Source organism: Homo sapiens, chromosome 17 (genome assembly GCF_000001405.40).
Source record: "Homo sapiens chromosome 17, GRCh38.p14 Primary Assembly".
In the NCBI taxonomy this organism is placed as follows: domain Eukaryota; kingdom Metazoa; phylum Chordata; class Mammalia; order Primates; family Hominidae; genus Homo; species Homo sapiens.
The window spans coordinates 54940660-54951386 of NC_000017.11; the positions used below are offsets into that span (position 1 = coordinate 54940660).

The 10727-nt window shown below is 38.8% G+C and overlaps 1 protein-coding gene across 8 annotated transcripts in view; it reads left to right on the forward strand.

Moving 5' to 3' along the window:
• TOM1L1 (target of myb1 like 1 membrane trafficking protein) overlaps positions 1–10727 on the forward strand; it is a 61105-nt gene that overhangs the window by 39808 nt on the left and 10570 nt on the right. For 6 of the 8 annotated variants that reach the window (NM_001321175.2, NM_005486.3, NM_001321176.2 and 3 more), the window contains 3 exons: positions 6602–6653; positions 8859–8964; positions 9386–9467. In NM_001321175.2, coding sequence (NP_001308104.1) covers positions 6602–6653; positions 8859–8964; positions 9386–9467 — 240 coding nt within the window. Of the gene's footprint in view, positions 1–6601; positions 6654–8858; positions 8965–9385; positions 9468–10727 lie in introns of those variants that run through there. The other 2 variants (XR_243612.4, XM_047435068.1) reach the window with 1 other exon arrangement.

The window sequence follows — 10727 nt, forward strand, 5'->3', positions numbered from 1 at the left end:
ATTTATTGCTAAGTAGGAAAAAAAGGTGCTAAGTAGTGTGTGTGTAATATATTGCATTTGTGTAAGAAAGTTGGAAATAAGAATATATATTAATATTTGCCTCTATTCACATAAAGAAACAAGAATGATACAGGAAGGAAAAAACTGAAAAAGAGTGAAAGAGTGGTTACGTAAGTTCCAGAAGAGGCAGGATAGAATAAATAGCAGTTGAATTTGCCTTATGCCAATGTCAATAGCTTTTTTCCTTTTAAGTGTATATATTTTAGATAATAGGCAACACATTTTCATTATTCAGATATCAAAACAGTATAAAAAGTTGTATAAGACAATTCTTGTTTTCATTCCCTCTTCATCCTCCCTCTCTCCTTTTCCCTAGTGTCACGCTCTACTCCCACCCAGATAATTATTTGTTAGGTTCTGATTTATCCTTCCATAGTGTCTTTAGGCAAATAGGAATATGAATTTCTTTCTCCGTTATTCAATAAAATGCAGCATACTATCACTGTGTTCTGAACCTTTTGTTTTTCACTTAACATACTTTGGCAGTGTGTTTGTATCAGTGGATTTAGATTTTTTAAAAAGTTTCCTAGTGTTTTGTTTAAATACTTATGTACCCAATCACTGAATTACTTTTCTATATTTAAAAGGGGGAGGGGCAGAGGGAGGAAAATGAGAAAGAAGAATCAAACTGGGAAGAAAAAAGAGCAAAATATAAGGGAAGAAGAGAAGAAAGGATTCATGTGTTGGGAAATGATTAAGTGTCAATGGCTCTTTCATGAACCACTGAGTTAGGTCAGTATCTTCTGTTGGCTACCTCTTGTTTTGGCTACATGCAATGCAAGTAAATGTTGAAATGTAGGCAGATTGAAGTCGCTTGGTAAATAGTGTGGTTTAAAATAGCTGATTCTGTTTGTGTTATCTTGCTAATCTTGTTGGGTAATGAGAGAAAGAATAATACAGATAAAATCCCATTACAACAAGTGTCTATAAAATTCATTAAAAGTCAAATTTCAGCTAATAGCTGCCTGTTTTAATCTGTAACCTACTTGGATCTAATAATTCAGTATGCATAAAAATCACTTGGGTGACTGTCAAAAAGTCAAATTGCTGGTCCCCAGAAACTCTGATTCAGCAGCAAGAATCTTTAACATGCATTCCAGGAGGATCATAATGCAGTGGTTTTCCTATCATACATTGAGAAACCCTATGATGAACATCTATACCAAGATTCGAGGGCGTATACCTGGTTTAAATCATATGCCTAAGATCACTTGTGAGAGGCAAAATCAGCCATTAAAATGTCTTATAATGTTGAGATTTTTTCCATCCCTTTGTTTGCAGTTTAATTTATTCACCATCACAGAAAAAGTGGGTGATGCAGTTTTTCATAACAGAAAGAATCCTTAAAAAACAATAACAAAGAAGACAGGATAAAACATAGGTCATTTTTTTTTTGAGACAGAGTCTTACTTTGTCACCCAGACTGGAGTGCCGTAGTTCGATTTTGGCCAACTGCAACCTCCACCTTCCAGGTTCAAGCGAGTCTCCTGCCTCAGCCTCCCAAGTAGCTGGGATTACAGGCACCCGCCACCACACCCATCTAATTTTTTTTTTTTTTTGTATTTTTAGTAGAGACCTGGTTTTACCATGTTGGCCAGGCTGTGGTCTCAAACTCCTGACCTACGGTGATCTGCCCACCTCGGCTTCCTGAAGTGCTGGGATTACAGGCATGAGCCACTGTGCCCGGCTCATAGGCCATATTTATGACCCATTTACTAACAGGCAACAAGCTAAGAAGTATAGAAATGCTTACTAATTACTTAACCTATGAGGTATGTGCCACCATCATTTTCATTTTAAACAAGAGGAAACCAAGGCTGAGGAAGATTAACTTGCCAGTGGTTGTCCAGCTAGTACTGAGACAGGATTCAAATTTAAATGGGATTCAAAATCAAATTCTGATTTCAGTAACTTCTCTCTTTTTGTTTTTAGTTTTGTACTTTAATTTTATTTCTAAAATTTTCATATACTAAAATTGACCTTTTTTGTTTTGGTTTGGTGTACAGTTTTATTTATTTTAACATACGTATAGATTCAAATAACTACCCCCAGTCAGGATACAGAATAGTTCCGTCACTCAGCAAAACTGCCGTGTGCTATTCCTTTATAGTCACACCCTTGTACCCCTGACCCTCAATCCCCAGCAGCCAGGAGTTTATTCTCTATTGCTATAGTTTGTCTTTGAGAATGTCATTCAAGTAGAATTATACAATATATCATCTTTCTAGAAGAGATTGTATTAAGTTGGTATTTGCTTTATGTGTTTTGAAGCTCATGCATTCGGCTATGTTGGATCTTATTGGTTGATTGAGTCTTTTATCATTATGTAATGTCCTTCTTTGTCCCTCATAATTTTCTTTGTCCTGATGTTGATTTTGATAGTAATATAGCCACTCTAGCTTTCTTTTGTTTAGTGGTTGCCTGGTATATTTTCTTCTGCATTTTACTTGTAACTTAACTGTACTAAAAGATTAGGAGTTTCTTAGAAATAGCCTATAGTTGGTTCATGCATTTTTATATATTCTCATAATCTCTTTTAATTGATATGTTAGGCAATTTACATTTAATTTAATTGTATGTAGAGTTTAGGTCTACTGTTATATAGTTATTCTATGTGTTCCTTTTTTTCTGTTTCCTTTTTCCTGCTTTCTTTTGGATTATTAGAATATTTTTAGTGCTCCATTTTAGTTTATTGTGATTTTGACTGTATCTTTGTATAATGGTGTGTGTGTGTGTGTGTGTGTGTGTGTGTGTGTGTGTGAAATAAAGTTGCTTGGTAAATAATGTGGTTTAAAGTAGCTGATTCTTTTCCTGTTATTTTGCTAATTTTGTTAGCAAAATATATATATGTATATATGTTTATATATACATGTACACACACACATATATATAAAGAGAGTTTGCTTTAGTGATTGCAGTATACTTATTTTTCAGTCTACCTAAAATCAATGCTTTACTACTTGAAAGTAAAAACCTGGGCCGGGCGCAGTGGCTCACACCTGTAATCCCAGCATTTTGGGAGGCTGAGGCGGGCAGATCATGAGATCAGGAGATCGAGACCATCCTAGCTAATACGGTGAAACCCTGTCTCTACTACAAATACAAAAAATTAGCTGGGCGTGGTGGCAGGCACCTGTAATCCCAGCTACTCAGAGACTAAGGCAGGGGAATCACTTGAACCCGGGAGGCGGAGGTTGCAGTGAGCCGAGATTACAGCCACTGCACTCCAGCCTGAGTGACAGAAAGAGACTCTGTCTCAAATAAATAAATAAATAAATACATAAATAAATAAAAGGAAGTAAAAACCTTATCACCATATAGATTCCCCTTTTCTATAATAGTTATCTTATATATTACTCCTCTATACATTGAAAAGAAACCACTAACAGATGATGCTGTAATTTTTGCTTACAACCCTGAGATATATTGCAAAGAATTCAAGAAGTGGCCGGGCGTGGTGGCTCATGCCTGTAATCCCAACACTTTGGGAGGACGAGGTGGGTGGATCACTTGAGGCCAGGAGTTTGAGACCAGCGTGGCCAAAATGGTGAAACCCCATCTCTACCAAAAAATAGAAAAAATTAGCCGGGCGTGGTGGTGCGCATCTGTAATCCCAGCTACTCGGGAGGCTGAGGCATGAGAATTGACTGAACCCAGGAGGCGGAGGTTGCAGTGAGCCAAGATCGTGCCACTGCACTCCAGCCTGGGCGACACAGCAAGACTCTATCTCAAAAAAAAAAAAAAATTCAAGAAGAGAAAAATAGTCTATTATATTTACCCAATGTTTACCATTTCTCTTACTATTCTCTTCTGGTATAATTTCCCTTCTCTCTGAAGAATTTTCTTTATCAGTTCTTTTAAAGCAGGTCTATTGACAGTGAAGTCTCTTAGTTTTACTTCATGTGAGAATGCCTCTATTTTGTCTGTTCCTGAAGGATATTATCAGTGACTACAGAATATGGGGCTCATGCTTCTATTCTTTCAGCAGTTTTAAAAGGCTGTGCCACTCTTTCTAGCCTAAATGGTTTCTAGTGAAAAATCTACATTCATCGGAGTTGCAGTTCTTCTATAGATAATGTATTGTGGTTCTGTCTGCTTTAAATAATTTTTCTTTTTATCCAATTTTGAACAGTTTGATTACAATATGTGGGGTATGGATTTCTTTTGTTTCTTTCTCTTGGGGGTTGGCTGAATGTATTAGTTTCCTGGGGCTGTCATAACAAATGACTGCAAACTGGGTGGTTTAAAACCACAGAAATTTATTATCTCACAGTTCTGGAGGCAAGAGGTCTGAAATTCAGCAGAGTCACACTCCCTCCACAACTATTACGGGGACATCTGTTCCCTGCCTCTTCCAGATTCCAATGACTTGTGGGTACTCCTTGGATTTCTTAGCTTTTGGTCATGTCACTCCAATTCTTGCCTGTACCTTCACCTGGCTTTTTCCTGTATGTGTCCCAAATCTCCCTCTGCCTTTCTAAGGTGATTTGTCATTGGATTTATGGCCCACCCAGATAATACAGGATGGTATCCTCATCTTAAGATCCTTAGTTACATTTGCAAAGACCATTTTTCCAATTAAGATAACATTTATAACATTCACATATTCTGAGAATTAGGACATGAGCATAGCATTTGGGGGGCCACCATTTAACCCACTAATGGAACTTCTTGAATGTGGTTTGTGGCTTTATGTCTTTCACCAAACTTGTGATGTTTTTAGTCTTTCTTTTCTTCAGAACTACAGTCTTTCTGCTCTCCTGCTGGAACCCTGATGACACAAATGTTGACCTGTGCCATTGTCTCATAGGTGTTTGGGGTCCTGTTTGTTTGTTTCTTTGTTTTACTCTTTGCTTCTCTCTGTTTAGATTGGACACTTTCTGTGATTTATGTTCAAGTTCACCGACTGTTTCCTCTGTCATTTCCATTTTGCTATTGAGCTCATTCTGTTAAGTTTTTTTTTTAATTCAGTTATTGTAGTTTTTAGTTCTGAAATTTCATTTTGGTTCTTTATATCTTGTGTTTTTGCTGAGACTTTCTATTTTTCAGGTTTTTTTTTCTAAAGATTGTTTGCAGTTCTTTGGAGCATGTGTACAATAGCTGCCTTAAATATCTCTGAGATAATTTCAACATCTGTGTCCTCTTGGCATCGATATCTGTTATTGTCTTCTCATGCAAGTTGAAGTTTTCATGGTTCTTCATATGCCTCATAATTTTGGATTCTATCTTGGACATTTTTAATGTTTTATTAGGAGACTCTTGGTCTTAATTTAAATCACATCAAGAATGTTATTTTGATTTTAGCATGTAAACAACCTGGCTAGATTCATTCCACAGTTTTAGCCTTCTTCTATGGGCGGTGGCTCCAATGTCAGCTACATTTTCAAAGCCTTTGCAGTGCCATTCAAATATGTCTCATGTATGTTCCATCCTGTGGTCAGTCTAAGGTGGCAGGTTGTTTGTTCACTTCTCACCGTTTTTGACATTGTGACTGAGATGGGATCCATGCATGCCCAGGTCAGGGGGTGAGCTCAGTATTTCATAAACAACTTCATGAGGTTGTTTTCCTGAGTCCTCCATCATCGTGATTTATCTGGTACTTTCTAGTTTCCTGGGACTCCCCTTTTTGCTTCTCCAGTCATAAAGCTGGAGCTTTAGTTACCCTATGATACCACACATTTCCTTGACTATGCTTATGTCTGACTAAATGGCAGGACAGAAAGGAAAAAAGCTGTGGGTATCACAGCTCCTATTGAAGAGGAAGATTCTTCTGTGTTTCAATTTCCTACAAGTCCCATTGCCTCGGCTGTCGCTACAGCCACTTTGGGGTTGCCTGTGGTTTGGGTTGTGAGAAAACAGAGAGAAGAGGACAAAAAAGGGACAAGAGATTTCTACATTCTGAGTGTTAGGATTGTTTCCCTTTCCTGCTTCTTGAGTGAGAATGAGAACCCTTCTCCTAGAGCTCTGTCTGTTCTCATTGATGCCTGGGGTTCAGACTGCATTGCATTTGGTCAGGAAATATGAAGAGGCAAAAAACGGTAAATTCACCAACAGTTCAGTGATACTTGAATTCTGGTCTTCTTTCCCAATCAGGCTGCTCCTATTATTCAGAGTCCTCAAATACTTGCTCTATGCATTCCGTCCACCTTTAAGTGACATTCAGTGGAGAGACAGAGTGCAGTACGTTTGCTCCGCTTTATCCTGGACCGGAGACCTCACAGCTTTCTTCTTAACCTGTGTTCTATACTACTTCTCATCCTTTAAGAAACGATGGGGTGGTAGCTACACTGATGGAAAGACTAAAGGCTCTGGTCTTAGTGTTCCGTGCACACTCCACAGTCTCAGGGCTCCCACCACCCATGGCATCATAACCTGATGTGCACTAAAACCAATTGTTTTATAAACAGTTATTACAAAATGACACTTTATGCAGTCTGAAGGTACCTTTTAGGTTTTGTTTTTAGACTAGGAAAATTATCTTACTTTTTGCATTTGTGTTCTCACTGTAGGGTAATCATTCTGTGTTATCACACTATCCTAGGTTTGCCCAAAGGACCAGCCAAAACCTCACCTCAAGCCACGCATATGATAATGTAAGTAACAAAACTCTTTTCTAGCAGTGCATCTAGTCAGCAGATTATTGTAGCCAGAAAAGAACTCATGGTCATTAATTCCCATGTTCTGCTCAGTATTGTGTTGATGCGCAGCCCCTGTTAGCAAGATGGTAAGGATCAAAATTTTTTTGGAGTTTGTATTTGCTATCTCCACTTCCTTTCCTTGTATTCTCTTTGACTTCAGACATGCTCTTCTACCACTCTATGGACATAACTCTTGTCAAGGTCACTGGTGACTTCTGTATTGTGAAATTTAGAACTGCAGTTCCATAGTCCCTCATTTTATCAGCAACAAATGACAAAGTTGATCACTTCCTCCTTCTTGCACACATGGCTTTCAGACACCAGTCACTTTGGTTCTTCTCCTGCCTCACGTTCATTTCTTCTCCATCTCTTTTGGTGGCTCTTCCTCCTCTACTGACCTTTTCTTGTTGGAGACCCCAGGGATCAGGCTTCAGACTTTTCTATCTACATTCATTCCTCTGTGGTCTTTTGGTCTCATATCTTGAAATAACCATTCAATTTTTGACAACCTACAAGTTTGTATCTCTTGTAGCCCAGACCCCTTCTCTAAACTCAGAACTCATATATCTACTTTCCACTTAATGTCTCCTCTTGATTTCTTCCCAGTCTCCACTCTCAACCTGCCCTTCCTGCAGACTTGCCACCTCAGTCAATGGCCACTCTGCTCTTTGCTGCATAGGTCAAAAACCTTGGGTAATAGCGCTTGACATCCACCTTTTTACTTTTACTTTTGCCTTTTACTTTTAAAATATGTCAATTATTCAGCCACTTCTCACCACCTCCACTTCTGCATCTTAGTCCAAGTCACCATCGGATGGACATTGCAGTGGCCTCTAAGGGAAGCCCTGTTTCAACCTTTGCCTCCCTTCGCATCCCTCCCACCCACCTCATAATCTGTTCTCAAAACAAAAACAGGGGCATTCTTTTTTAAAAAGTGAAGTCATATTATGTCACTCATTTGCTCAAAACCCACCTGTGATTTTCTTCCTCACTCCATTTTACTCAGTAAATGCCTGAAATGCCGATCTGACCGCACCCGTCACCTCTCCAGGCTCACCTCCTGCCCCTCTCTACCTTGGCTCACTCTATTCCAACCACACTGGCCTCCCCCACTTCAGAGACTGTGAACTTGTGTCCTCTCCAGTAACCACAAGACTCACTTTAGTCAGGCTCTGCTTAAACGTCCCCAGTGATGAGACATTTCCTGACCACGACCTATTAGAGCAGTATTCCACCCCAGTCTCTCTCCCACCCACTACTCTGCTTTTATATTAGAGCACATGCCATTGGATATCTGTTCACATTTGTTGATTGTCTGAGTCATGAGGGCAGGAACTTGGTCTGCTTTGTTTATTGCTTTATTAATAGTGCCTGGCAGCTGGTAGGTGGCCAGGATATATTTGTGGAGTGAATAAGGAAAATTATGAGAAGAGATATTTCTAATTAAGATTCTAATATTTTATCAATCCTGATTTTGTTGTGTCACTGAGTGCCTCTCTGTAGATTTAAATTTTTTTTTTCCTACTCAAGGCTGAGATTTTATATTCAGAGTGAAACAACAGAGAATCTGGCCTGAGCCATTGAATCTGCTTCATTTTTAAAAGCAATATATGGTTTTTTTTTCACAGTTTCTATGGGAAATAGGGTGCATTAGGCATAAAATCAGACAAAAATATAGTAAATTCTTGTTTTTGAGACAGGGTCTCATTCAGTCACCTAGGCTAGAATATATAGCATGATCATATGATCATAACTCACTGCAGCTTCAAACCCCTAGGCTCGTGATCCTCCTGCCTTGGTCTCTGGGGTAGCTGGGACTACAGGTGTGAGCCACCATGCCCAGCTATTTTTTTTTTTTTTTTGTAGAGTTGGGGTCTTGCTGTTGCCTAGGCTGATCTTGAACTCCTGGGCTCAAGTAATCCTCCCACCTATCCTCCCAAATTGCTGAGATAACAGGCATGAGCCACCATGCCCAGCAGAAAAGTAGTAAATCTCGTAAGTGATTATTACCTAAAAAAACTAAAGTAATAATTAAAAACAACTTATTCTTGTCCAGTTCAAAGTTCTTGGAACAATGTACTTGCAAGTGTAGGAGTCTCAGTAATAAAAGAAAAGCTTAATGTAGAACGTTTATATGAACATGTGTTATGCTTTCTTCAGTTTCTGGAACATTCAAATTCAGTGTTTCTACAGCCAGTTAGTCTACAAACCATTGCAGCAGCACCATCAAACCAGAGTCTGCCACCTTTGCCCAGCAATCATCCAGGTACATGGGACCTTATTATTCGCATCAAATAAGGAAACTTATGAGAATATATGAGTCTGCCAGAGATTCATTGGTAACTGAAAATAGGAGAAATTAGAGATGCTCTTTTGTATTTTTAAGCTAATGAAACAAATTCAGGGCAGATACCATTATGACTGACTTATAAGAGACTGTAAAAATGCTTGTGTTAAACTGAGTATTGTGTTTTGAATGCTAAGGTAAATGAATCTTTAGTTGAGGTTTGGAAACCTTTTTGATACATACAGATTTGTTGAACTTGGGAGTAGCATTGGGACACCAGTCTGTTTTGGTTGTGTTTATTAGGATCTAATATTTGAAGTCTAAATTATAAAAAGAATATCAATTGCGTGTACTCCTCAAAAAGCACAATATGTTTACTGGTCTCTTTTTTTGCCCAAAGCGATGACAAAAAGTGATCTCCAGCCACCTAATTACTACGAGGTAATGGAGTTTGATCCCTTAGCTCCTGCTGTCACTACAGAGTAAGTCATTTACAAAATGATTAATTTATTTTTTGTCTTGGTTCCCTTTGATAGCAGAGCTAACAGGGCTTGGTTATACATTTAACTTTGTTTAGGTCTTGGCAGAAATTGATGGCCTTATTAAAAATGCCTTATGAGGTTTTATGGCAGCTGTTACTCTTAATGGTCTTATCGTTCCGGCCTTGTGACTAAAAAATAAAAATGCTGGGGTTGCATGTTAAGAAATAACTGGAACTAACCTGCTTAATGGACTCCTCATAGATCCCTTGGCAGAAAGTCATGTTCTCTTTAGCTTGAGAAGGGTACTAGTCACTGATTGGTGACATAAGTTTATGCCACATTGATGGAATATTTTAGCTGCTCTTTATGAACTGATCCAAAAAAATCTTATATTAGAACTTGTTTTTAGTCTTCTAAAGCATTAGTACAATTACTTTTTACTTAAAATCCTTAAAGCAACATTCTTTTATGATTTCATATTGGTCAAGATATATAAATATTAATGGAATGGTAAGGTCATAAGAACTTTAATATACTTTGAGTGACTGAAGGTTACCCCCAAATTGTTAAAAATTATTAAAGCACGTTTATTGGAAATCATTGTTCAGAAACTGACAGCCTACAGGCTCTATCTTGCTTGCAGTTGTTTGTTTTTGACCTGTGCAGAATTTAAAATGTGCATTTAAAAAATTAATTGCTGGTTTGGGAAACTCTCAACCATGTTTTTCCTCAGCTCTCACTCTAATATAACAATGAATGCAGAGACTTCTGTGGCCCCCAAATATGTGAGGATTTCTCCCCATCAGCAGGCAAGCAATGAATTCTACAATGGACACCAGCTGGGTGTCCTCTGATTCAATTCCAACACCATCTACCTGGAGATAGTGTCAGACCCCACAGGTTGAGAGCTCAGTCCCCACCACCCCGACACCTACCTTCCCAGACACCAGTCACAAGCCTGGGCCTCTAAACTTAGGACTGACTGGCTTCAAGTTGGGGTTCCCATGACTGCTTCTTTGGGTTTGATTAGTTTGCTGGAGCAGCTCACAGAACTCAGGGAAATACTTATATTTACTGGTTTATTATAAAGGACATTGCAAAGGATGCAGATGAAGAGATGCACAGGGCGAGGCATGCGGAAAAGGCCATGGAGTTTCCGTGCCCTCCCTGGAGTCCCACCCTCCAGGTACCTCCACGTGTTCAGCTATCCAGAAACTGACCTGACCCAACCCCAACCCAGTCCTCTAGGGTTTTTAATGG